Source organism: Homo sapiens, chromosome 15 (genome assembly GCF_000001405.40).
Source record: "Homo sapiens chromosome 15, GRCh38.p14 Primary Assembly".
Classification (NCBI taxonomy): Eukaryota; Metazoa; Chordata; class Mammalia; order Primates; family Hominidae; genus Homo; species Homo sapiens.
In genome coordinates, this window is record NC_000015.10 from 52,179,437 (window position 1) to 52,206,931 (window position 27,495).

Genomic DNA, 27,495 nt, shown 5'->3' on the forward strand with positions numbered 1-27,495 from the left:
TGCCCTCCGCATGGGAGGGGCAAGAACGCGATCCGTTCGCAGCTTCCAGGCAGGTGATGAGGATAGCTAGTCCCGCGGTCCTCCGCTAGCTGGCGGCGGGGGTCGGCCAGGTGCCCGGACCCTCCGAGGGCCCCACCGCCGCGCGTCCCGGGGATCGGGACCGCTACCCGCGCCTCACCTGCGCGCCCGGGCCCCAGGGCCCTGCTCCCGGGCGGTGGCGCGGGCCTGGCTCCCGTCGCAGCCACGACCGCCCCCACCGCCCCCGCCGTCCCCGCCCGGGAAGTGGCGAGCCGGTCCGGCTTGCCCCGCCCGCCTCCCGGCCCGCACTCACGCTCCACATCGTGCAGCTTGGCTCGCTCCTCCTCCAGCTTGCCCTTGAGGCTCTCGGCCTCGCTCTTCAGCGACGCCAGCGTCTCGTTCTCGTGCAGCCCCTCGGTTGCCATCTTCGCGCGGGGACGCAGCGGAGAGGGAAGCGGAGAGCGGGAATGCGCTGAGCCGCGGCGGGCGCCGCTCCAGCAGCCGTCCCCGGCCCCGAGCACCGCCCCGCGGCCCCGCCCTCCGCGATGACGCCAGCAGCTGCGGGCCCGGCTGCTGCGCCTGAGCCCCAAGACCCCGCACCTGGGCGCGCGCTCTGGCGCAGTGCCTGGTGCGATGTCCGCGTCAGCCTCTCTCCTCCGGGAGAGGCAGGGAGTGTGACGCCCATTTTACCAGCGGGCAAACTGTGGCTTAGGGATGCTGGGTGATTTGCCCGAGGACGCACACAGAGGGAAGGGCCAAGCCGGGATTCCAACTCGGGACTCCCCGCTTCTGGGGAGACCGGTGAGGCCCCCGCGACATGGCCCTCCCATCCCCAAGCCTCTCGTGCAGATCTCCGCTCTGTGGGACTTGATTGCGGGCTGCGGGCCCGTGGCTCCTGCAGGCAGAGAGAGGACGGGAGAGGAGACGGCTACGAGGCTTGGCCGCAGGTAGCTACGGTGCTCCCCCAACAAGGAACCGGAAACCCTCTTCGTTTGTTGATCTAAATATACAAAAATAAAACTAGTTGCTGGGTTCTCAGACGGAGTCTCTGCGGCATTAGGAGGCCCACCCTTATTTTCTCTTTTCTTCACGCAGGAATCAGGTCCCTGGCCTGGGGGCGGCAAAAGGAGATGGCGGTGGGTCAAGTGGGCGCGCAGGCTCAGACCTGGGGCTTCTGAGCCCACGCCCAGGCATCTCGGACCTCTCACTTCTGAGGCCACCTCCTGCCCTTTAGAATGAAGGGCTGGCACAGTTCTGCCAGGATGCACGTTTAGCGACTTCTGTCAGACTGAAGCATCCCCTCTCCGCAAGCGCCTGAAGTGTGAGAGGCACTGTTCTAAGTGCTTTAATTTGCACTTGTTTAATCCTCACAGGAGTCAACTTGAATGGGCACACTTATTCCCACTTTACAGAAGAGGAAACTGGGGCACAGAAAGACTGAGTAATTGCTCAGGGGGCATGCTCCAAGAAAGAGGGAGAGACAGGATTTGGACCCAGACAGGCTGGCTCCCTAGTGCTCTGGACTTTGGTGTGGATGATCCAACTCAAGCCTTCTCCTTTTTCCCTCCTATGTGATCTTGCATGCGTTTGTGCAGAGAATGAGAAGGCAGATCAAAGTTACAGATGCTGCGAGAACATCGCCAAGCAGAATCTTGGGTGCTGTCCCCACCTCTCTGTACCTGCTCCCTCCCAGAGAAGCCAGCCTCCACTTGCTGTCCCGGGCCTTCTCTATCTGAGAAAAGTTGAAGGTACTCGATGTTAATCTGTACATAGTTGTTTTGCAGGTTAGAGTCTGGGATCCTCCGTTTCCTTATCTGGAAAAGCTTCTTCATAGGATCTGCTTCATAGGATTGTTATGAGAATTAAGTAAGATGGTGTGGGCCGGGTGCGGTGGTTCACACCTGTAATCCCAACACTTCGGGAGGCCAAGGTGGGTGTATCACCTGAGGTCAGGAGTTCGAAACCAGCCTGGCCAACATGATGAAACCCTCTCTCTACTAAAAATACAAAAATTAGTCGGGCGTGGTGGTACGTGCCTGTAACCTCAGCTACTCAGGAGGCTGAGGCACGAGAATCGCTTGAACCCTGGAATCAGAGGTTGCAGTGAGCCGAGATCGTGCCACTGCACTCCAGCCTGGGCAACAGAGCAAGACTCAAAAAAAACAAAAACAAAAACAAAAACAAAACAAAAAAAGGTAAGATAGTGTGGGTGAAGACTTTAGCAGACTTCTCCGTACATAGCAGATGCTTATTCACTGCTAGTTCTCTTTTCCGTTCCCATCCGTATAATAATAGGTTTACTTGTCGCTGTTCCTTAGTATTTAGATATTTAGCATAGTACTTGCATATGGTAGGTGCTCAGTTAATGCTAGTTTATTAAATGGATGTATAAAAAATATATAAAATATATAAATCTGTATAAACTATGTTAAAAATATAAACATATAACAAACATGTTTATAAATGAATAAATATATAAATACAATTATTAAGTATAAGATAAGAATATATAAAAGCAAAAATATTACACCTGTTTGAGAGTTTGTAAAGCAAAAGGTTAAGAGCACAGGCTCTATCTAGATCTGACTGCCTGGGGGCAAATCCTGGCTCTGCTCTGTGGCCTGAGGGATTTACTTGTGGTGCCTCAGGCTCCTCATCTGTGAATGGGGGACAACACCTCCTTCAGACTCTGTATGGCATTCGGAGAGAGCAGTGCGTGGCACACAGTATGCATCTGTTATTATTACTGAGGCTGCCTGATACGCTTGAGCAGTTCACATGAGGTAATTTAAATGAGACACTGGGTCATGGGGGATTCTTCTCACAAGGGCCATCTCAGGGGGCCCAGGCAAGGCAGCCTCATCTCATCACCTCCTTAGGCTGGCTCTGTTTGGACCGTTGCAGGATGTGTGTGTGGTTCAAGGTCCTCCTGGCTGTGAAGACCTGAGGCACGTGGTACTTCTCACTGGTGTGTGCCCTCTTCTGGGGGTTCTTTGTGTAAAATAAACCTCGAACAGCCTCCAACCTGGAGAGTCAACTATCTAGAGATGAGGCCATCAGACTTTTAATGGTTAGGCAGTTTTCCAAGTACTTTCTTGTATTTTGGTGTTAACTCCCACTGAGGAAGCTGGATATCAGAAAAGTTGAGGTCAGCTACATTCCACAGTGGTTGAGATAAAGGGTCACTCCTATTCACAAAAAGGGCCCAATGGGGACTGTGTCTACATAATCCCAAACAGTTGGATGAAAGGCCAGCTGTCAGTCACTGGATGTCTCTTCAGCTGAATGATGCTGTCTGAATATTTGGGAACCCCCAAGTAGAGAGTAGAGATTGTATTAAAGTAATTGTGGTTTTTGCCATTGCTTTCAATTGAAAGCAATGAGAATTGTTATGAGAATTAAGTAAGATTGTGTGGGCCGGGCGCAGTGGTTCACACCTGTAATCCCAACACTTTGGGAGGCCAAGGTGAGTGTATCACCTGAGGTCAGGAGTTCAAAACCAGCCTGGCCAACATGGTGAAACCCTCTCTCTACTAAAAATACAAAAATTAGCCAGGCATAGTGGTTTGTGCCTGTAACCTCAGCTACTCAGGAGGCTGAGGCACGAGAATCACTTGAACCCTGGAGTCAGAGGTTGCAGTGAGCCGAGATCGTGCCACTGCTTCAATTGAAAGCAATGGCAAAAACCGCAATTACTTTTGCCCCAACCTAATAGTAGCGCTAGCTGGCAACTATTCCCTAGAAAAGTATCTCCAGGCATGGCCCCTGTGCTAGGGAGAACCTGTGTGCCACAGAGGACTCAAAATCTGGGATTCTTGGGCTTATTCCACCTGCAGAGGAAGTTGTTTAAAAAGCAGAAGAGTTAGATTAATAAATAATGGGGGGGGGGTAAGGCCCCCAGAAAGCAGGTTTATTTTTAAGAACTAAATGTCCTCAGTTCTACAATTTGCAGGGCCAAGTTAGAACGTAGACTGTAGAAATATACTACAGGTAGAAGCCCACTACACCTAGGCTGAAGACATATCCAAATTGCTATGCTGTATCAAAGCCTTTTTATGCCACCCTGGGCTGTTTACTTGCTATTTGCTTTAAGGGAATAATTTTTAATGTAATCATGGTCAGGGGTTACAGTGGAATCAGGAGGATAAAAAGTGCCTTTTCTTTTTCAGTTAGATAAAATGTAAAAGTCATCTTTCCTCTCTTTGGTTGTATTATGGATTTTGTTGTTGTTTTTTTAAATGTGTGGGGATTTCCTACTGGGCTTTTCAGGAGGAGTGCTTTACCACTTTTCACCAAGTGGGGGCTCTGCTCAGCTGCACTATTGAGCGCAGCTTTGCAAATTCTCAGAGATAGGACTAATTCTTAGGGCTTCAGTGATGCTGTGGGCATTTTTGCTGCAAGATCTGAAGCCTGTGCACAGCCACCTCTGGTGAGGACTTGATTTTGTGTACTTTGAAAAATTCCAGGATTTGTATTCCATTCCTAGTCTTTGTTGAAGGCTTAGGCCCAAGGAGTACTTCTGAGCTGAATTTTGCTCACTACTGAGGCCCTGTGAGATTCCATCTTCATTAGAGCTGGACCTACACACCACTGGGACCGGTCCTTGGAAAGATGCTCCTAGACTGTTTATTTGCCAGCTTCTCTTTTAGCTTGATTGCCTGCCAAGCAGACTTGTAGAAGTCAGAAGAAAAAAGTATTAGCCCTAAGAAATAATAGAAGCTAAAACATTCATTGAGTACTTTCCTTGCTGGGTACTATTTAAAATAAGTTATCAAATGAAATCATTTGATCATCATAAAACTCTTATGATGTAGGTGCTATTAGCATTCCTATTTGCAGATGGGAAAAACAGGCTTCAGGAGAGAGGTGAGAACCTCCTTGCACACCAATAACTAGGAACATCAATAGGATTTGGACCCAGGCAGTCAGACACCAGAGTCCACACCCTGAACCTCTGTACTATACTGCCTCACCAAGCCCAGGCATACTGAAAAGTGTGTGTTATATAAGCTGATTCTATGGCATCTCATCTGTCACAGGACCCTCGCTTGACTGTTTTAAGACAGATAACTGAATTTTTTTTAAGTGGCACTTACAATTTCTGCACATGTTGAACAGTAGCTGAGTTGTTGAGACTTCTTGAAAACTGGTCTCAGAGCTCGTTGTTTGAAACATTTGTCACATGAGCCAAATACATTAACGAGAAAGGTCTGATCACACATCTTTTACCCAAGATAAAGCTGAAAAAAAGTGAAAAGAAGGGAGGGGGTGTGAGAAAAGCCAATGGTTTTAACTTTCTAAAATCTCTTCTTGCTTGTACCGTGGTAGCTATTCAGACGTCTACATGTGGGATAGAGTATATGCAGTTAATTTATAACCTTTCAACTATTACAACATGCTGGGTCAATACAACTCATTTAATCAGTGAGAAAGCATCAGACAATAGGTTTTCTGAACTTAACACGTTTAACCAGTTTTTTGGCAGCTGGCAGACCTGCGTCAGGCAGGATTGATCCTTGCAGCACAATATCAATTCTGTGGGGTTTCACAATGGAAAACGTTTTTGTAATGGATGCTATAACTTAAAACTTTTAAAAACATTCCTCCCCTCAGGGTGAACTTTTAAAGATAAGGGTCAGCAAATGATGGAGCCTGACCCCAACCAAAGCCAGGGGCCTGAGTAAGTGTGGTGTGGGTTCCGTGCAAGGCAAGCACTCACTTATTAAACATTTGACAGCCAAAGACCCAGGGTCCCTGCCTGTTCACAAGGAAGTCAACAGACAGGCCCAGGCCGCTGCAGGGAGGCAGCACAAGCATCTAGTGGTTACAGGGACAGGCTCTGGCTGCCTGGTCCCGGCCCACCACTGAGGCTAGTTAGCTGACCTCTCTGAAGCTTGGTTTTGCTAATCTGTCAAGTGGAGATCTTAAAATCTACCCTTCTGGGGTTGTCAAGAGAATGATAAGAGTCAGTGCGTAAAGCACTTAGCTCAAGGTCGGTAATACAGGGAGTGTGCCAGCGAGGTCATGCTGCCCTGAGTGGCAGCAATAGCGGGAACAGTGGCTGCCTTGGGAAGGAGGGACATGGGTAGGGGCAGGGTGAGGCTGGGGATGCCAAAGAAAGCATAAGAGGAGCCTATGGCAACGGTTCAGACAAGACGCGAGGAAGTCATGGACTAAAGGTGAGAAAGTAACTTTTATCTGAGGAATGCAAGCCCTTTTAAATTATCAGGCCCAGAGAATCATGAAAATGAGACAGCAATAACGTTCTAGTCCCCACTTTGAGCTGTGTATTCATCTTTTTATTATTATTATTATTATTATTATTATTATTATTATTATTATTTGGGACAGTATCTCTCTGTCTCCCAGGCTGGAGTGCAGTGGCACAATCTTGGCTCACTGCAACCTCGTTCTCCTGGGTTTAAGCGATTTTCCTGCCTCAGCCTCCCAAGTAGTTGGGATTACAGGCATAAGACACCATGCCAGGCTAATTTTTGTATTTTTAGTAGAGGCAGGGTTTCACCATGTTGGCCAGGCTGGTCTCAAACTCCTGACCTCAAGTTATCCACCCACCTCGGCCTCCCGAAGTGCTGGGATTACAGACATGAGCCACCACACCTGGCCTCATCTCTTGAAACTGCTTGCCATTGGCACAAGTAGCTAAAAAATAACCTAATAATGCCACACTGGACACTATAACCCACACCCTGTAGTGTAACAATGTATAACCAGTCGCTAATCAATGTTATTTCTGTAAACTAATGAGAATTCCTAACAACTTTGTATCAGCCCACTCCCGGTCCCTCTTTTTTGCCTTTTTAAAAAAACTGCTTGTAACAAAGGCCAAACAGAGATAATGTCCAAGGTTACTTGGGTCTGGGCCTTCCAGGAATCTGTCCTCACTTTGGCTCAAGTAAACTCCTTAAGTCTTGGTTTGTGCTACAGCCTCTTCCTTTTAGGCCCACAAAGCAATGTAGTGGGATGGACTTGGACCATGCTTAGGAAAGAGAGAAGGAGCTGGATTTGGCATGTGGAGTTGAGGAGAGGGAGATGTGGGTGCTGTGGCCTAGATTTCTTTGGGAGACCGAGGGGTTATGTTGCCATTGCTGGAGATGAGGACAAAGCGGTTAAGGGGGAAGGGAGCAGCCAGTGTGGCCCTGTCAATTTGGTAGGTGTTCTAGAGTGAGCCCCGTCAAGATTCAAAGAAATGAACCCCTGAACATAAAGATAATTGGGGGCGCTGGTCTGAACATTTCAACAGAGTCAAATCTGAGAGGGATGCATTTATGGGGGAGGTGACAGTTGGGGACATTTCTGATGAGGAACGTCTGCCATGTGGAGCCCACCCTGGGGCTGGAGAGATAATGGGGGCTCATGAGTTGGGCTGAGCTCTTACAGCAAAGGGGCAGTCAGCACAGTTCGAGACCTCTGGGCAACAAAGGTGTACAGGGCATCCCTTAGGGACAACAGCTCGCAAGGAAACCAGCTACCAACTGCCACAGAGTGCCCAGCCCTCGCCTCTCCCTGGGAGGGAGGCAGGACATCTGTGTTACAGCTGAGGAAAAGCAGGGGGATTAAACAAGTTCAAGGTCAGCGGCAGAGCTGAGTCTGTAAGTAGCATGAATACACACTTTGGAACCCTATTTCCAAGCTAGCATGGTCAAGCTGCATGGTTTTGTCACAAAAGGTGAGTTAACAAAAAAGGGCCTGCCCTCCAGAGCCTGGCCCATGGTGGGGCTTGGTAACTGTTGCATCCCACTCCCCAGCCCTGTAAAGGCAGCCAGTAACAAGGTTGGGCTGAACACTCCCAGTAATAGCATTAGGACGGTGAGCCACAGGCTGTTAAGCAAGGGAGCAGTGTCATCCACGTGGATTATTCCAGCATTTGTGCTTCCAGAAGTAGGTCAGAGAGAGAGAGAGAAGGGACGGCAGGAAAACAAACTAGGTTAAGAGATTGCTATGTTCTGGAGAAGAGGAAATGAGCTGCGGACAGAGGAGCAGCTATGGGAATGGAAGGCGAGAGGAACCTATGGCACCAAGTGGAGGAGGAATAGAAGGATGGCTGGGAGGCACGGGAGAGAAAGACAAGTTGAAAAGATAGCCGATATTCCATATCTAGATAGAGGCAATGTTTTTCTTCTCAAACTAAATTTTGAATTTTTTCAAATTATAAAAGATGCTGATAATGTTCATTATAAATAACTGGAAACAGGGCCAGGTGTGGTGGCTCATGCCTGTAATCCCAGCACTTTGGGAGGCCAAGGCGGGTGGATCACTTGAGGCCAGGAATTTGAGACCAGCCTGGCCAACATAAGGAAACCTCATCTCTACTAAAAATACAAAAATTAGCCTGGCGTTGTGGTGCGCACCTGTAATCCCAGCTACTCGGGAGGCTGAGGCAGGAGAATTACTTGAAGCCGGGAAGCAGATGTTGCAGTAAGCTGAGATCATGCCACTGCACTCCAGCCTGGGTGACAGAGTGAGACTCCATCTCAAAGAAAATTAAAAATTAAAAATAAATAAATAAATAAGTGGAAACAGAAGGACACAAAAAGGGGAAAGTAAATCGCCCACATGCCCTACACCAACAACTGACCTGTTGGCATTTTATGTTTTCCTCTAGTATCTTTATAAGTATATATGTGTGTACTTTTTAACAAATTGGAATTATATGCCATATACTACTTTATATAATAGCATTTTCATCTTCACGTCATTGCATATTACTGGAAAACACCATTTTTTAACGGAGACTCCAATTTTTGAGTCCTATGGGCCTTAAGTCGTATCACATAGCTAGCATTTTAGACCTCACTGGTTAAACATGGGCAAGCTACAAACTAAATTTAAAGCATTTTTAAACTGTAAATATTATACATATGCATTGTAGAAAGTTTGGGGGAAAAAAAGATATAAGGAAGAAGATAATCACCTATAATCCCACCACTCAGAGAAACTTCTTTTTACATTTTGGTGTAGCAAGAATAGATTTGAGACCACTGAGGTCATACTGTTCATGTATACTGATTACATTTCTGTATCTTGATGTTTTTCACTTAGTATTTGTATCAGCTAAATTTTAGTACTTTGTTGTACTTATTGTCAATATCCTTTTTATGATGAGAGAATTTTTCACAGCTAGAGCCAATGTTTCGATGAGCATTTTGACAAGAAAGACAGAAATGCCCCATTTAACAAATTTTGACATGAAGTTGCTCTGCAGTAGTTCATAGAACTTCTCAAACCTTCCCCTAATAACTTTATGCCAAGCACAAACTTTCTTTGATATCTGTTTTACCTAAATATGTGACTTAAAAAATTACCACAGAAATACGTGTTTATTTTAAAAAGAACCAGTACCAAAGATGAAAAAGTAAAACTTGAATCCCCCATCACATGCCCTGCATTTTCACTGCCCTTAGTTTGTTGTTTATTCTTCCAGACTTTTCTGGCACAAACACATAGATACAGCTTTGGTAGTCATGCAAATAGGGCTACTTGCTTTCTTCATCTAACTTATTCTGTTAACACTTATAGATCAACCTTGTTTGGTAATAGGTTCAGCATTATTCTATGCTGTGGAGTGTCATAATTTATTAAACCAACTTCCGTGTTTGGATACATAGGGTATATCCAGTTTTTACTTTTAAAATACTGCTTCATTAACTCAATTAAAAATGGACAAAAGGACCTTCATACATTGCTGGTGGGAAGGTAAAGTGGGGTAGCCGTTTTCCAATGGTGCAGCTGTGGAAAACGGTTTGGCAGTTATTCAAAACTTAAATATACAGCTGTTACCATAAGACCCCGCAATCCTACTTCTAGATATATACCCAGGATACTTGAAAATGTATGTTCACTGGCTGGGCGTGGTGGCTCATGCCTGTAATCCCAGTACTTTGGAAGGCCCAGGCGGGTAGATCACCTGAGGTCAGCCTGGGCAACATGGTGAAACCCCATATCTACTATACAAAAATTAGCCAGGCGTGGTGGCAGGTGCCTGTAATCCCAGCTACTTGGGAGGCTGAGACATGAGAACTGCTTGAACTTGGGGGATGGAGGTTGCAGTGAGCCAAGATCGCGCCACTGAAATCCAGCCTGGGCAATGCAGTGAGACTCCGTCTCAGAACAAAAAAAAAGAAAATATATGTTCACATAAAAATGTACATACTAATTTTCATGGCAGCATTATTAGCCAAAAGTGAAAGCAACCCAAGTGTCCACCAACCGACAAATGAAAAACAAAATGTCTATCCCTCCAGTAGACTGCTATTCAGCAATAAAAAAGAATGACGTTCTGACACATGCTACAACATGGTCAAACCTTAAAAACGCTATCCTATGACAGAAGCCAGACACAAAAGGCCACATATTGTATGATTTATTTATATGAAGTGTACAGGATCAGCAAATCCATAGAGACATGAAGCAGATGAGTAGTTGCGAGGTGGAGGGAAGAGAGAATAAGGGGGAAGGAGGGAGCTGAGAGTGAGTGGCTGCTTAAGGGGTATGGGATTTCTTTTTCGGGGTGATGAAAATACTCTGGAGTCAGTGGCAATGGTTGCAAATCCTTGTAAATAAACTTAAAAAACACTGAAATATATGTTTTAAAATGATGGGTTTTAAAACATGAAACAAAACGTGGACATCATATCTCAATAAATTTTTTTTTTTTTTTTTTTAGACAGAGTCTTGCTCTGTCGCCCAGGTTGGAGTGCAGTGGCGCAATCTCGGCTCACTGTAAGCTCCGCCTCCCAGGTTCATGCCATTCTCCTGCCTCAGCCTCCCAAATATCTGGGAATACAGGCGCCCGCCACCTCACCCGGCTAATTTCTTGTATTTTTAGTAGAGATGGGGTTTCACCGTGTTAACCAGGATGCTCTCAATCTCCTGACCTCATGATCTGCCCGCCTCAGCCTCCCAAAGTGCTGGGATTACAGGCATGAGCCACCGCGCCCAGCCCAAAGATTATTTTTAAAATGGACAAAAGGCTTGTGTAGTCACTTCACAAATGAGGATACTTATATGGTCAATAAACATATAAAAAGGTGCTCATTATCATTAGTCATCATAGAAATACAAAGTAAAACTACGATGTGATACAACTACTTAGCCATCAGAAAACCTAAAAAGCCTGACAACACAAAGTGTGGGCAAGGATGCAGAGACTGGAACTGCCTTTCTCTGCTAGTGGGAGTATAAGTCGGTATAACCACTGTAGAAAACTGGTTGGTAGGAGCTACTAAAGTGAAACGGATATAGTCTATGACCAGGCAATTCTACTCGTGCATACATACACCACAGAAAATAATGCTTATTTCCTTAAAAAAAAAAAAAAAAAAAAAAAAAAAAAAAAAAAAAAAACATAAATGTCATAGCAGCTATTCATAGAAGGCCTAAACTTGAAAGACCCAAATGTTCACCAGTCACAGACGAAACTGTGAAATGAGCATAGAATAAAAAATAACTGATACACACAATGTGGATGTATCTCAGACTTACAACTAAAAACCTCTTTCTAACCCCATAAGCTGTACTCAGAGGCTTATGTTGCCATGTGTCACCTGGATCAAATTTTAAAACTGACTTAGTGATTTTAAGTATGCTTAATCTCTTTCCTGATGCCAATATTAATGTAAAAAATATTGAAATATTTCAATTTGAAATATTTGAAATTTACTATTTCAAAATAAATTCATGTGTATTGTAGAAAAATTAGATTCTACGGATTAACAACAACAAAACCCCTCACCCATGCTCCCACCGCACAGAAAGACCTGCTAACACTGTGCCCTGTACTCATCTGGATGCTTTTCTGAGCATTTCAAAAGCTGGAGTATTTTAACCGAATGTCAGCATGCACATACCTTCCAGAGTCAGCACTGGGAGCCACAGAGCAGATGGTGAGAGGTGAGGACCAGCGCGCAGCTTGAGGTGTGAAGCACGTCTCCCACTGGCTAATCTCCTTATCTTCTCTGGAGTGCTGCTCAGCTTGCTTCCTTCCTCCACAGCACTTCCATGCTCCCTGCTGGGCACGCACTGCCATCTGCATCCCTCACTCACCCCTGGAACCTGCCCAGCCCCTCTGTGGAGGGAGGCCTTGGCAGGTTTGACCTCTGTGTCTGCGCCCACTCACTGAGCAGCCCTCACATTCACCTGGGCCACATGTTCTTAACATTTCTCTATTTTGGTCTCCTTGCCACTGTCAGCTTTGTAGAACTGATCAAGACTGTGGGATGAGTGCCTCCCTTTCCCCATTTTTCCACACATAAACTCCTCAGCCTCCACAGGTCTCCCTGTCCCCAAACATGACCTACTTTTTCCCATGGTTGACTCCCCACCACACACACACAGTCCTCCAACGGGACTTTGCTCCTTCAGTTCTCTTCCCACCTCATCAGCAGTAGGATGAAGGCAGGGATGAGGAGGATGTGGCACCTGCCCTCTGGGGCTCACAGGCCTACAGAGGAAATGGGCAGCATTTCTGGCTTCCAGTCCAGGGTAAGTGCTATAAAACAGGCATAAATCCTGAGTTATGGAAGCCGAAAACCAACAGTGATGGCTCCTCATGGTGTGGGGAAGGTCTAGAAAGGGCATGGAGGCCGCAGCTCAGGATCAGAAACCCTGCCAATTCTCTGCCAAGTAGCCCCTCATTCTGACAGTGTGGAAGCGCCCTGGAGACACAGCCTAAGCCAGCACTTATGACATATTTACTTCTTCTCTAAACATTTTAATATACTTTAAATGAGATATTATGAATCTATAAAGATTCTAGCATCTTTCAGTATGACCGTAAAGAAAGGCATACAACTTGTACACTTAAGAGACATGTCATCTCCTCGCAATGAAAGAATCTGACCCAATTCATTTGGTAATTAATTTTATTGATTAAAGTATTACAAAGTTCTACTTTTCATTTTTTCATGTACAATGTATTGAAATGAACTAAACTCAATCACTTATAATATAAAAAGACATTATTATGTATTAGCAGGGTGATGCTTCATAATCATGTATTATTCCTACCTCTAAGACACCAGTCTGTATTATAGAATCACAGCTGTCACCTGTGACTGTCAGAAACAGAAGGTGCAATTGGGATTCTTAGGTTGGTGACAGAATAGCACTGGATCCACAGGCCAGAGACTAGGAGTGCTTATCAAATGAGGTTTTAGGCTCTGAAAGGAAGGAATGAGAAGGTGTGCCGGGACAAGGAATAGCCAGTTCCCATAAAACTTGGGAAACGTAGATTTCTCAAAAGTAGGGTCCGACACAATTTTTTAGTTACTTTTTGAGAAAATTTAAAAATAAATACATTGAAATGCTGATTAGAGAGCGAAAGTAATTTAGGTTGCTTTTTCAATCTGAGGTTGTTTTAAAAAAGTTATTGTATGAAAGGTATTAAAAAATAAAAAAATTATGGTGAATATGTTGGCAGGTAAGATTTGAAGTTCTTTCAGAGAAGATAAACGGCATGGCAATTAAGCTTTAATAATATATTAGTTTTAAATAGATATACATATAAAAATACTTCAAATGATTCATCTCGGATTGAACACTCTTAAAAATTAAAAGGGTCAGCCGGGCGCGGTGGCACACGCCTGTAATCCTAGCACTTTGGGAGGCTGAGGTGGGCGGATCACGAGGTCAAGAGATCGAGGCCATCCTGGCCAACATGGTGAAACCTGTCTCCACTAAAAATACAAAAATTAGCTGGGCGTGGTGGCAGGTGCCTGTAGTCCCAGCTACTCAGGAGGCTGAGGCAGGAGAATTGTTTGAACCCAGGAAGCGGAGGTTGCAATAAGCCGAGATCATGCCACTACACTCCAGCCTGGCGATAGAGCGAGACTCCGGAGTCTCAAAAAAAAAAAAAAAAAAAAATTTAGAAGGGTCTAAAATAAACATTTTTAAATGCAGGGCATTTTCAGTAAAAAGAGTTCATGAAAACCTTCTGTCCCCAGCAGGCATGGGGCAAGAGAACTTTTGGCAGGTCACGGTGGCCAAACGGGATTTTTTCCTGGAAGACTCAGCACTAGAATCCACTTGCAGCTTTGTAAATGTACTCAGGTTTCACATGAACCTTAGAAAACTTGGAAGCCACTGTGTCCCCAGATCTCACTCCCTCCTGGTAGAGCCCTGCCACAAGACAGAACAGATCAAGAGGCACGTGGAAGAAAATATGAGCCCTCCAGGAATTTCAGTGAAAACCAGCTGAGATTCGAGAGTGAGACATGGCTTTTCCAAATACAGCTGGTGTGTGTGAATTCTTACAAAATTACAGGAGCAGCATTGTCACTGTGAGTGAGAGATGATGTGGTCCATTTGAGAAAAGTCTGTTTTCTTCCTTAAATCACATTCCAATTTCCACTGCCAATTAATAAAACACATCCCTCATATTGAACCTTCACTTAGCTTTTGAAGAAAAAGTGCATTGACTTTTTCTCCTGCTATAACCTATTCAGAAAGCCTAGCTTGAAACTGCTGGGGATCTGAATCATTTCCAGAGCATGTGGAGAGGGGGTAAAAGGAAATGTGACTTGAAAGAGATATTTGGTATCCAACATCAGCTGTGATGAATCCTCCCGGCTATTTAGGAGAGCCTGAAATTAGAATCAGAGGAAAAATGAGTAAGGAAACTAACATGTTCTGCTTTACTGCTACCTGAAAGTCAAGGCAAAACACAGCTATCTCTAGTGGAGAGCTCCTTGCACCATCACATGAAATGACATACATGAGAACTTTTTAACAACAGCACAATTCCAAAGTCTATCCAGGGCTTCCAGATCAGCTCTCAGAACAATTAACTTGTCCTGTTTCACTTCAGAAGTTAATTTCCCATGGGATGAGTTGACCATAAATCTGTTTTCTATTCTAATCTATTCTCATGGCATAATTCTAAGGTCAAACATGAGTAGATTTCAAGTATTACATTTTTATTGAACCCATCTTTCTTCTTCATTCATGGGTTTGCAACCTTTTTGGTCTCAGGACCGCTTTATACTAAAACATGACTGAGGCCCCAAAAGCTTTTGTGTATATGGGTATATTGGCATTTGCCATATTAGTAATTAAATATACATTGTGTATATGTGTATATCGGTATTTGCCATATTAGTAATTAAAATGATTTATTAATTCATTAAAATAAGCTCTACACATGTTAAACATAAGTTTCCAAAACAAAGAAAATTTAGTGAGAAGTGGTATTTTCTATTTTTGCAAATCTCTTTCATGTCTGACTTAATATATTATCATATATAACCATATATTATATACGCCATATTTTAATATATATGCTATATTATCATATATACGATATATCATATATATCTGCTTCTGCATTCAATCTGTTGTGATATGTTATTTTGGTTGAAGTACACGAAGAAAATCCACAGATAACTATTGAGAAAATCCACAGATACCTACTTAGAAAATCCACAGGTACATATTTAGAAAAAGGAAGAGTTTTGCAGACCCTCTTGAAAGTGTCTCAAGGACTCCCAGGGATCCTTGAGCCAAACTTGGAGAACTGCTGCCCTAGAGTTCCTTAGGGGACAAACTTTAGGGATTATATAAGAAAAAATGGTTATACAAATGATTATAAAAGAAAAATGGTCTCTGTTTCCATTCAGCCTCTGCCCACTTGCACAGTATTCAACGATCAGTAAGAAATAAGATATATTGACAGAATACAGCACGGGAGACATGATTTTGGTGCTTTCATTCCCCTCCCACCTGGACTAAGGTGGATTCTGAAAATTTCACAGGAAAATTTCCTGCTTACCTTTGAGCTGGGTGCCTTTCATTTGTATATGTGGGTAAATGTACTTTAATCCTGGATTTCTATAATGTTAATTAAGTATCAACATCTTATACCATAGTTAGGAAGTAAAATTAAAAGGCACATCCTTAAGAATCTCACCTGTACTTTGCGAACAAAGGATGGAGTCACTCTCTTCTCAAAGTCATCTATAGGTGTGTATGAATTAAGGATCTTTATGATCTGCAAACGGTACATAACATGGTGTTAGACCATGCAAAATAATAACTCTGTTCATAAAATAATGGTTCTGGTTATTGGGAACCATTGGGAAGCACAGGTGGTTCTTTTAGCCTATAATTTGGTTCAGGAACTGTATGTTACCTATTTCCAAGAAAAGAAAACAAGGGGAGAAAAGTGCCTTAGGGAGCAAAGGCAAATCAGATAATCAGAAAACAGTAAGAGGAGCCCCCTTCTAGCCTCCCCACCTCCCACATGGCCACCCCTCCACATACACATTTGTGAGTTTAATGGGCAGGGAATGAATGCATCATAGACATTTGTGTATATGTGTGTGTGTGATTATTATTATTATTATTTTTGAGATAGGGTCTCCCTTTATTGCCCAGGCTGGGGTGCAGTGGCATGATCATGGCTCACTGCAGCCTCGAACCCCTGGACTCATGCGATCCTCCCGCCTCAGCCTCCCAAGTAGCTGGGACCAAAGGTGTGTGCCATCACACCCAGCTTTTTTTTTTTTTTTTTTTTTTTTTTTTTTTTGGTAGAGCGTCTTGTTATGTTGCCCAGACTAGTCTCAAACTCCTGGGCTCAGGCAATCCTCCCACCTTGGCCTCTCAAAGTGCTGGATTACAGCTGTGAGCCACCTCGCCCAGCCCATTTCTATGTTTTTAAGACCTAGTGTTAGTATTTAATAAATATTTATTAGATAAAAGGGTGGGCCATGGGTGATAGGTATGCTCCCGAGAGTACACACAGAATCAGGGTGCCCACAGCTGGCTAAACCAAGAAAGGCAATGCCCACTGCACTGATGTGTCAGGGAAGAGCCAGGGAGACACTAAGCAAGCCTGGTCACCTGCACAGCAGACAGTGAGGTGCAGCGTTCGTAGATCTCCTTGGCATCACTGTCTGTGGTCTTCTTGACCTGAAGCAACCAGGCTGCCTGAGAGAGGGGCTCCAAAGTTTCCTTTGCTAAGCTGTTCTGCAAGTTCTTATCTTTAAGCCATTCTTCTAAGTAGCTGATATTGCACCTGGAGGGAAAGGCAGAAGAACAGAGAATACTTTAGGGAAGGGTGCCAGATACTCCTGTGTGTCCCGAGAGGGTACCAGAGTTCGCTGAGATCCTTAAGACCACAGCTCAGCAGTTACTCATCTGCAAAATGAGGGAGTTGGACTGATGATCAGCTCTCCTAATCCAGAGTTCTAAGACTCATGGTGGTCTAGGCTGAGGGGCCGGAACAGCTACAGACTTTGGGGAAAATCTGAGCAAAGAACAGTGATTGCAATCACTTACGAAATACAATTTTGAAAATTGATTAAAGGAAAGAAACAGTGATATCTGAAGAGAAGACTTCCATAAGTATAAAAAACTGTTTTCTTTTTCCTGAATTGGCAGAAATCTTTCAATTAGTGAAGGCTTTCGGTCGACTGCAGTTTTTATTCTTATTTCTGTCACTAATTGCCACATGGGTTTATGAGTTAAGAGGCATGGGTTTTAGTCCTGCCAATCCACTGTGTGAGCCTGGGAAGTTAATCGACCTCTCTGGGCACAATGAGAGTGTTGAGAACCCTCAAACATTGCTAGTGGGAACGTAAAATGGTACAGCTGTTGTGGAAGACAGTTTGGTGGTTTCTCAAAATCGAATACAGACTTACCATATGACACAGCAATTCCACTCCTAGACATGTACTCAAGAGAAGTGAAAGCATGTCCAAACAAAACTCTGTACACAAATGTTCACAGCAGCATTATTCATAATAGCCCAAAAGTGAAAACAACCCAAAATATCCATCAACTGATGAATGAATGAACAAACTGTGGCATTATCCATGCAATGGGGTATTATTCAGCAATAAAAAGGAATGAGGTGCTGATATTTGCTACATGGATGAACCTCCCAAACATTACGTAAGTGAAAGAAGCCATCCACAAAAGATAACATTTTATGATTTCATTTATTTTTAAATGTCCAGAATAGGCAAAATCTGTAGAGAAAGAAAACATATTAATGGTTTCCTAGGCTGGGCAGGGTAGGGAGTTGGGGTGGGGGATGAGACTGGCTGCTAATGAGTATAAGGTTTCGTTCTGGAGGGATGAAAATGTTCTATAATTACATTACAGTGATAGTTGCACAACTACGTAAATATATCAAAAACGATTGAACTATACACTTTATTTACTCATTTATTTATTTTTGAGATGGAGTCTCCCTCTATCACCCAGGCGGGAGTACAGTGGCCCAATCTCATGAGGCTCACTGCAACTTCCACCTCTCAGGTTCAAGCGATTCTCCTGCCTTAGCCTCCTGAGTAGCTGGGATTACAGGCGCCTGCCACTACACCCGGCTAATTTTTGTATTTTTAGTAGAGACAGGGTTTCACCATGTTGGCCAGGCTGGTCTTGAACACCTGGCCTCAAGCAATCTGCCTGCCTCAGCCTCCCAAAGCGCTGGGATTACAGGTGTGAGTGACTGTGCCTGGCCTGAACTATATACTTTAAACAGGTAAACTGTATGGTATATAAATTACATACCAATGAAACTGCTAAAAAAAATTGAGTGTTGAATAAAGTGATCTCTAAAGTCAGTTCCAGCTCTGGGCCAGGCATGGTGGCTCACGCCTATAATCCCAGCACTTTGGGAGACCGAGGCAGGCTGATCGCTTGAGGTCAGGAGTTCAAGACCAGCCTGGCCAACATGGCAAAACCCTGTCTCCACTAAAAATACAAAAAAATTAGCTGGGTATGGTGGCGGACGCCTATAATCCCAGCTACTCGGGAGGCTGAGACAGGAGAATCACTTGAACCCGGGAGGCGGAGGTTGCAGTGACCTGAGATTGCACCACTGTAGTTCAGCCTGGGCGACAAGAGTGAGACTTTCTCAAAATAAAGAAAATCAGTCCCAGCTGTGACCTTAAGGATTAGCAATGCCCCATGTGGGTCTTCTTTCTGGCTGTAACATTTGGACAGTGATGCTGAATTAATGTTATTCCATAGGATAGTGGGTGTGAGATGATATATCTTGGGTTGGTTCTCACTATCCCTCATTTTTGCATTGCTACTTTTGTCCCACTAGTTTGAGTTCTTATTACTTTTGCTTAGTTTTTGTTGTTGTTGTTGTTGCTTTTTGTTTGTTTTTTTGTTTGTTTGAGACAGAGTCTCACTCTGTTGCCCAGGCTGGAGAGTAGTGGTGCGATCTCAGCTCACTGCAACCTCCATGTCCTGGGTTCAAGAGATTCTCCTGCTTCAGCCTCCCGAGTAGGTGGGACTACAGGCGCCTGCCACCACGCCTGGCTAATTTTTGTATTTTTAGTAGAGATGGGGTTTCACCATATTGGCCAGGCTGGTCTCGAACTCCTGACCTTGTGATCTGCCCACCTCAGCCTCCCAAAGTGCTGGGATTACAGGTGTGAGCCACCGCGCCTGGCCTACTTTTAGTTTTTTGTTTTTGTTTTTGTTTTGAGATGGAGTCTCGCTCTGTTGCCCAGGCTGGAGTGCAGTGGCACGATCTCGGTTCACTGCAAGCTCTGCCTCCCTGGTTGACGCCATTCTCCTGCCTCAGCCTGCCGAGTAGCTGGGACTACAGCTACTGCCACCAAACCTGGCTAATTTTTTTGTATTTTTAGTAGAGACAGGGTTTCACTGTGTTAGCCAGGATGGTCTCGATCTCCTGACCTCGTGATCCGCCCACCTCGGCCTCCCAAAGTGCTGGGATTTACAGGCGTGAGCCACCACGCCCGGCCCTACTTTTAGTTTTTATTACAGGTTTCTAATGGGGCTCCCATCTCAGCCCTTCTAATTCACCCTATTCAAATACTGCCACAGTCCTTTCTAAAATCTGAATTTTGAGCACATTAATTCTCCCACTCAAAGATGTGTGGTGGGTTTCCAGTTCCCAGTGAGATGGAGTAACCACACTCCATCTTGTCTGTCCCACTGAATGCAGCTATAAAGCCTGAATGGAATGCATTCGGCAGCTATTTGAGGACTTGGAAAAGTAAATAGTAGCAGGTGTATTGGGGAAGATGACCAGAATTTGAAGTCCTTCCAAGTCAAAAGTGAGATCATCACTTTTCCCCTCTGCTATTCACTGGCCTCTACTCGCCACAGGTTGAAACTCAGAGGTGGGCATCAATGCCAACAAAGAGCTCCAGGGGAGCTCTCTGATTCTAGCTCAAGGAGCTGAAAAGGGGCCTCCTAATGCTCAATGCCCTACCTTTTCCCTCTCCTTTTTCTCTATTCTCTCATGCTCAAGTTCCAATCCCATGTCGACAGCAGTGGTGGCGAAGGAGGCCAGAAGGAACCTAAAACTCGAAGAGAAGGGAAACTTCCCTTCCAATTGGAGGATCTGTGGTTCAAGGTTCTCTCTTTGCCCTCACCATTTGGCCCCAGATAGAGACATCTGCAGTAAGTACACTGCAGAGCAAATTAAGGAAAGCTCCAGTTTTCTAGCTGAAGCACCAAAAAGGGGGCAGAAAGTAATAGGAATGCCACAGAAAGGGAGGAGCCTGGGAAAGTTGGGAAAAGCAGTTTGTTAAGTTCTTTATTAACTCCTGGGTTTATCCCTGAGCCCACGCATGAATCTGACCCTAAACAGCATATACAGAATTTAAGAACTGAACTATGAAACATACCATTACCCAAGTTCCAAGCTGGCCACCATTTTTCACACATATGAAACGGACCCAAAGAGCACCACAAAACCCTTACACATGGAAATGGCATGAGAACCACAAAGCATAGAGGGTGGTCAGAACTTGCAGTCTGACCCAAGTGCATTGTCCGCCTGATGAAAATATTGACATTCTCCATATGATTTAAAGACTTAGAGTCTTGGCCAGGGATGGTGGCTCACACCTGTAATCCCAGCACTTTGGGAGGCTGAGGCGAGTGGATCACTTGAGATCAGGAGTTCGAGACCAGCTTGGCCAACATGGTGAAACCCCGTCTCTACTAAAAATGTAAAAATTAGCCAGATATGGTAGTGGGTGCTTGTAATCCCAGCTACTTGGGAGGCTGAGGCACGAGAATCGCTTGAACCCAGGCAGAGGTTGCAGTGAGCCAAGATTGTGCTGCTGCACTCAAGCTTGGGTAACTAAATAATAATAATAATAATAATAAAAACATAAACTAAAAAATGAAGACCTAGAGTCTCATAATACAGTATTTAAAAATATCCAATATACAATTCAAAATTGGCATATGAAGAACCAGAAAGATCTCAACTCACATTAAACAAAACAACTAATAGAAGTCAACACTGAGATGACACAGATATTCAAATTATCTGACCAAGACTTTAAAGAAGTTATCATAAAAATGCTCTAAAAAGTAAAGCCAAACTCTCTTGTAATGAATCAAAAGATATAAAGTCTCAGAAAAGAAACAGAAAATATAAAGAAAAACCAAATGGAAATTTTAGAATTGAAAAATACAATAATAGAAATAAAAGAACTCACTGAATGGGCTTACTAGCAGAATAGAGATGACAGAGGAGAGTCAGTGAACTTGAAAGGATTAACAGAGATTATCCAATCTGAACAGCACAGAAGAAAAGAACTAAGAAAAAGGAGCAGAATTTTATGGACCTGTGGGACAATAACAAAAAGTCTTTAACAGCTGGTTCACTGAAGTTCTGGAAAGAGAAGACAAAGAGTATGATGCAGACAAAATATCTGAAAAAACAGTGGCTGAAAATGTACCAAATTTGGTGAATGGCCAGATTCAAGAAGCTCAGGAAATTCCAAACAGGCTAAACCAAAGAAATCCACACCCAGACACATCACAAACTATGGAAAACTAAAGACAAAGAAAAAAAAATCTTAAAAGTAATCAGCGAAAAATTATGCATTATTTATGGGGAATAATTCAAATGACTATGGATTTCTTATCTGAAACCACAGTAGCTAGAAAAAAGTAAAACATTTTTAAAGTGGTGAAAGAAAACAACTGTCAATCCAGAATTCTACATCCTACAAACATACCCTTTAGGAATAAAGGTAAAGTGAAGACATTTTCAACTGAAAGAAAACTAATAATTTATTGCCAACAAAACTGCTCTAAAAGGAATACTAAAATACTTTCTTCAGGCAGAAGGAAAATTATATCAAAATGAGACTTGGAAAAAAATGAGACTTGGAACATTAGGAATGAAGAAACAACAGAAATGGTAAATACCTGGTTGAGTATAATAGACTATTCTTCTCTTATTGAGTTCTTTAAAATATGTTTGATGGTTGAAAACTAAAATTATAATATTGTATGGTACAGTTTTTGATGTATGTAGATCTAATATATAAGACCACTGCAACATAAAGTAGGGAGGCTAAAGGGGCCTACATGATGGTAAGATTTCTGCATTCCACTTGATGTGGTAAGATATTGATTCTAAATAGACTGTGAAAAGTTAAGTATATGTACTGGAATCCCTAGAGCAACAACTGAGAAAAAAGATCAAAGGGATAATACTAAAAAAAAAAAAAAAAATAGATAATTTAGAAAGGGATACTAAAAAATTTCAAATAACCCAAAAGAAGCAGATAAAGAAAATGGAGAAATGAAAACCAGAAGCAACAAGCAGAAATTAATAAAATGGTAATCCTAAATATAAATATTATATTACATTAAAATGATCTAAACGTCCCCATTTGGAAGCATAGATTCCAGCCTGAGCAACATAGTGAGACTCCGTTTCTACAAAAATGGCATATGCCTGTAGGAGTTCAAGACCAGCCTGGCCAACATGGTGAAACCCCGTCTCTATTAAAAATACAAAAATTAGCCGGGCATGGTGGCGCATGCCTGTAGCCACAGCTACTCAGGAGGCTGCGGCAGAAGAATTGTTTGAACCCGGGAGGCGAAGGTTGCAGTGAGCCAAGATCGTGCCACTGTACTCCAGCCTGGGTGACAGAGTGAGACCCCCATCTCAAAAAAGAAAAAGAAAAGGATGGCCACTTCCACCTGGTGGAAGGGAAAAAGTACTGGGTACCTGGGGGGCAGGTGTTCGCCTGTCCTCAAAGAAGTTGTTCTAAGACCTGGAGTCATGTGTCTCCCTCATGATCCTTTTCATTCATGTCTCTACTCAGTCTTGGGGGATCCACTGAGGGAGTGAGAACTGAGTTTAGCAAAGGCTCTGATGTGGCTTTACTTTAGGGCTGAAATCTACTACAGAGGACTACAGGATCTGCTTGGAGCTTGTGAAATAAACATAACTCATTTCTCAATGAAGACATAAAGATCTGCAAAGACTAGTCCTTCTGAATACCCCTTTCTATCTGAAAACCATGCCCTGCTGTCATGAGAATTTGTGGGAATGGTCTATGGGGATTGACTCCAACTCCAAAGTTTCACTAATGCTAAAAAGGTGTAAGGGATGCCTCTCACATGTATTTTTTGACTTAAGATACTCAATTTTTAAAAAATTTTTCTGGGTACATAGTAGGTATATATATTTATGGGGTACATGAAATTTTTTTTTGTTTTTTTTTTGAGACGGAGTTTTGCTTTGTCCCCCAGGCTGGAGTGCTGAGGCGCGATCTTGGCTCACTGCAACGTCTGCCTCCCCAGTTCTAGTGATTCTCTTGTCTCAGCCTCATGAGTAGCTGAGATTACAGGTGTGCACCACCAGGCCTGGCTAATTTTTTTGTATTTTTAGTACAGACAGAGGTTTCACCATGTTGCTCAGGCTGGTCTCAAACTCCTGACCCCAAATGATCCGCCCACCTCGACCTCCCAAAGTCCTGGGATTACAGGTGTGAGCCACTGTGCCTGGCCCATGAAATGTTTTGATACAGGCATGCAATGTGAAATAAGCACATCAAGGAGAATAGGGTATCCATTTCCTCAAGCATTTATTGAGTTACAAACAATCCATTACACTCCAAGTTATTTTATCTTTTTTATTATTTATTTTTTTGAGGCAGAGTCTTGCTCTGTCGCCCAGGTTGGAGTGCAATGGTGTGATCTTGGCTCACTGCAACCTCTGCCTCGGGTTCAAGCGATTCTCCTGCCTCGGCCTCCCGAGTAGCTGGGATTACAGGCATGTGCCACAACGCCCAGCTAATTTTTGTATTTTTAGTAAAGACAGGGTTTTGCCATGTTGGCCAGGCTGGTCTCAAACTCCTGACCTCAGGTGATCCACCCACCTCGGCCTCCCAAAATGCTGGGATTACAGGCATGAGCCACCCCGCCCGGCCTCTAAGTTATTTAAAAATACACAATTAAGTTATTATTGACTATAGTCACCCTGTTGTGCTATCAAATAGTAGGTCTTATTCATTCTTTCTCTCTTTTTTTTGTACCCATTAACCATTTCCACCTCTACTCAGCCCCCCACTACTCTTCCCAGCCTCTGGTAACCATCCTTCTACTCTCCATCTTTATGAATTCAATTGTTTTAATTTCTAGCTCCCACAAATAAGTGAGAACATCTGATGTTTGTCTTTCTATGCCTGGCTTATTTCACTTAGCATAATGATAGATACTTTCTTTGTCACCTTCCCTTACGTCATTACCATCATCACTACCCCAGGTTCTCATAACAGATACAGGTATCAAATTTCTGCACACACTATAAGAAACGTAAATATCCTATATTATGTGTTTTCCAATCACTTGATCAGTGTTAATTCAAATAGTGGCTCAGGGTCCATGGTGTCTCAATTAAGAGATAGTAGACACACCTCAAAACTAGATTCCCAAGTCTTCAGGATGAACTCCAAATGCCTTAGCCTGGTATTCCAGACCCTCCCAGTGTGGATCCAACCTAGCTCTTTACCTTGGTCCTGCTGCTCCCCACACCAGCCTCCGCTTACTCCACATGCAGCCTGAGCAGAGGTCCTCACTCACTCCCCGCAATGCCTCTGACCGTTTCTCCTGCTTGGAACGTTCTTCTCCGTTTCCTTTATCACTCAAGGCACAACTCTCTGGCTTCCCCAACTGTTCCGTCTGCAATGTCTCTCCTCTCTGATACATTTCCTGCACCACTTGTTTGTGATTTAATCATAGTTGCCTTTCATTATTATTTAGCTATTCTGAGCTTCTCAAAGGCAGGGATCATATCGACTTTTCCTTGTTTCCTGTGTTCTCCCCCTGGCAGTGCTATTCAGAGAAGGTAGTCACTACTGGTTGAGTGCATGACCACCCTAGAGGGCCAGAATTTAAGATGAACATCTACTGGTTCTGGGTTAAAGCGGCTAGGCCAGTCCATCTAGTTGGCAGGGTGTGGCGTGAGGGGAGTAGGCCCTGGGCGCCAGCATCCCGGGGCTCCTAGGGTGACTCGAATATCCCTACAGCAGTAGGGCCTAAACAGGGGTTTGACGCCACAGCAGGGAGGGTCAGGCGCGTGGGGCCTCGGACTTCAAGAGCATCCTTTCTGCAGGCCTCTCCGCGTGAGCGGAGGTTTCTGGGTTTTACCTGATCTGCATCCCTTTTCTGCAGGAGCACATGTCCTTGCGCAGGAAGAGGCTGTTCAGCGTGACCGCCCCGATCAAGAAGAAGAGCTGCTTCACCGCCTGCCTCACAAGCTCGGGGTCCAGGCCGTTCTGGCACATGGTGGTGTAAAAGTAGCTCAGCTGTTGCAGGACGGAGGTCATGGTGTAGCCGTCCGTGTCGTCTATGCTAGAGGAGCGCTTCCGGAAGCCTGTGGGCTTCAGGCCGGAAATGCCCTGCAGGCTCTCATACTCCAGCATTCCCGGAACTGCGGAGAGACAGGGAGGCTGTGCTGACACGCCAGGAGACACACGCGGAACGTTCCCGACGCTCTTCGGTTTGTTTCAGGAGATGGGACATTTTTCTACAAGAGTCAGTGGATGTACTTATGATAGAGAAAGCAAAAGAATCAAGGGTTTGGGACACCAGGGTGTGTGTCAGGGTTAGGGATGGACGGCTGTTTCCAGCGGGGCTGCAGCTCCTCTTGTAGGTTTGAAGCAGCACGTTTTTCAGCTTCACAGGAAAGAAAGCTGCTTAGCATGACAAATCATGGCCTGGGCATTAAAGCCTAAAGTATTTAAATTTCAGGAAATTAAGGAAAGTATACAAGAATTCGAATGGGGCTTTAGGATTTCAAAAATACTTGGCTACGCCAAGAAGTAGAAGTACCACATAAATAGCAGTAGTAGAAGTTTCCCCAAGTTTTTTCCTTCAGGATAAATCATCCTTATATAAAGAAAACTACCAACAGCGTACTATTATTTATGGAATCATTATAAGCAAGCAAAGAATTAAAAGGCAGATATCTACATGATTATATTTCCTTGGCTTTTTAAACAATGTTACACATAATCACACATTACACATACCAAGTTTATGTTTTAAAAAGTCTTAATGTTACTATAAATATTTTTTGGTCATCCATTCTCTTCTTACCTATTATCGGTTGGATATTCTTTTCCATTATGATAATAAATTGATGATATATTCGTATAGCCACATCACTGAGAATCTGTCTGTATTCTGAAAGGTCAAAATTGTTCAAGCAATTCTTATTCTGCTGTGGACTATTATGCTTCATGAATTCCTAAAAGTAATTTTAAACATAAAATATTAGAATAATACAAACATGTAGGAAATTAATAATCAGCTACTATAACTCTTTTACCTTAAAACTTAATGTCTGATTTATATCAAATGAGTTCATGATGCTTGGGGTAGCATGTACCTTCTATAAGAAAAAAATTGCACTGATTTCCTGTATGATCACAGTCTATCACACTGTCATTGTCCCACCCACTTCCCTACAAACATTGTCCCTGGAACCTATAGACTAAATGGAAAAGCTCGTAGAAGGCCCATGGAAGCGCATAGGAAAATGAAACAAAACTGCAGAGCATTCAAGGAAACAAACTGCTATGAAGAGGTAAGTGGATACAATAAATGAGATTCATAACCTTATAATTTACAGGGTACAAAGTTGAAATATTTTAAAGTGTGTGTTATGGATTTTATGTGTCTTCCTAAAAATCATACATTGAAGCCCTAACCCCCTAGTGTGGCTGTATTTGGAGATGGGGCCTTTAGGGAGGTAATGAGGTTAAATGAGGTCATGAGGATAGGGCCGTGATCTAATAATAAGATTGATGTCCTTATAAGAAGAGACACCAGAGAGAGCTTGCCCTCTCTCTCCCTCTTCCTGACCCATGCACCCAGGAAAGGTCCTGTGAGGACACAGGGATGGAGAAAGTGGCTGTCAGCAAGCCAGGAAGAGAGCCCTCACCAGGAAGTGACCATGCTGGCACCCTGATCTCAGATGTTTAGCCTCCAGAACTGTGAGGAAACAAATCTCTTGTTTAAGCCACCCAGCCTGCGGTATTTTGTTATAGTAGCCTGAGTGAACTAATGGAATATGTTTAACATGTTCAAAGAGACTAAAGAAAAAGAAAAAATTAAGAATAGAACATTATAGGGCTGGGCGTGGTGGCTTACGCCTGTAATCCAGCACTTTGCGAGGCCGAGGCAGGCGGATCACTTGAAGTCAGGAGTTCA

General features: G+C 43.8%; 2 protein-coding genes and 1 long non-coding RNA gene across 9 annotated transcripts in view, besides 5 other annotated features; 1 reads left to right on the plus strand and 2 right to left on the minus strand.

The window, feature by feature from the left end:
• Positions 1-660: a silencer, noted in NCBI's record as "silent region_6445". NCBI's record gives its function as "represses an Ori minimal core promoter by ATAC-STARR-seq in GM12878 lymphoblastoid cells {active_cell/tissue: GM12878}" and the evidence as "EXISTENCE:reporter gene assay evidence [ECO:0000049][PMID:35858748]".
• The window catches only part of GNB5 (G protein subunit beta 5), a 76,293-nt gene extending 64,337 nt beyond the window's left edge, over positions 1-11,956 (minus strand). Inside the window, exons 1-3 of one of the 3 annotated variants that reach the window (NM_016194.4) lie at positions 11,886-11,956; positions 5,115-5,258; positions 332-443 (exon numbers count right to left, since the gene is read on the minus strand). In NM_016194.4, coding sequence (NP_057278.2) covers positions 332-443; positions 5,115-5,240 — 238 coding nt within the window. In that variant the 5' untranslated portion in view covers positions 5,241-5,258; positions 11,886-11,956. Of the gene's footprint in view, positions 1-178; positions 256-331; positions 490-5,114; positions 5,259-11,885 lie in introns of those variants that run through there. The other 2 variants (NM_006578.4, NM_001379343.1) reach the window with 2 other exon arrangements.
• Positions 590-26,443, plus strand: CERNA1 (competing endogenous lncRNA 1 for miR-4707-5p and miR-4767). Its single transcript, NR_102751.1, has 3 exons — positions 590-965; positions 1,614-1,766; positions 25,453-26,443. It is a non-coding gene; the product is annotated as a competing endogenous lncRNA 1 for miR-4707-5p and miR-4767 (long non-coding RNA).
• Positions 706-1,207: an enhancer, noted in NCBI's record as "H3K4me1 hESC enhancer chr15:52472339-52472840 (GRCh37/hg19 assembly coordinates)". NCBI's record gives its function as "activates a minimal SCP1, AML or CMV promoter by ChIP-STARR-seq in primed H9 embryonic stem cells {active_cell/tissue: H9 hESC(primed)}" and the evidence as "EXISTENCE:reporter gene assay evidence [ECO:0000049][PMID:30033119]".
• Positions 1,031-1,120: an enhancer, noted in NCBI's record as "active region_9424". NCBI's record gives its function as "activates an Ori minimal core promoter by ATAC-STARR-seq in GM12878 lymphoblastoid cells {active_cell/tissue: GM12878}" and the evidence as "EXISTENCE:reporter gene assay evidence [ECO:0000049][PMID:35858748]".
• Positions 4,969-5,138: an enhancer, noted in NCBI's record as "experimental_39732 CRE fragment used in MPRA reporter constructs". NCBI's record gives its function as "activates a minimal promoter by MPRAs in K562 erythroleukemia cells, with activity observed for the introgressed 15:52476687 variant allele {active_cell/tissue: K562}" and the evidence as "EXISTENCE:reporter gene assay evidence [ECO:0000049][PMID:34662402]".
• Positions 12,054-12,553: an enhancer, noted in NCBI's record as "H3K4me1 hESC enhancer chr15:52483687-52484186 (GRCh37/hg19 assembly coordinates)". NCBI's record gives its function as "activates a minimal SCP1, AML or CMV promoter by ChIP-STARR-seq in primed H9 embryonic stem cells {active_cell/tissue: H9 hESC(primed)}" and the evidence as "EXISTENCE:reporter gene assay evidence [ECO:0000049][PMID:30033119]".
• MYO5C (myosin VC) overlaps positions 12,886-27,495 on the minus strand; it is a 103,483-nt gene continuing 88,873 nt past the window's right edge. For all 5 annotated transcript variants that reach the window (XM_047432845.1, XM_017022408.3, XM_011521781.4 and 2 more), the window contains 5 exons: positions 26,380-26,530; positions 25,429-25,711; positions 16,873-17,047; positions 15,941-16,021; positions 12,886-14,618 (listed from right to left, as the gene is read on the minus strand). In XM_047432845.1, the coding sequence (XP_047288801.1) occupies positions 14,466-14,618; positions 15,941-16,021; positions 16,873-17,047; positions 25,429-25,711; positions 26,380-26,530 (843 nt within the window). In that variant the 3' untranslated portion in view covers positions 12,886-14,465. The remainder of the gene's footprint in view (positions 14,619-15,940; positions 16,022-16,872; positions 17,048-25,428; positions 25,712-26,379; positions 26,531-27,495) is intronic.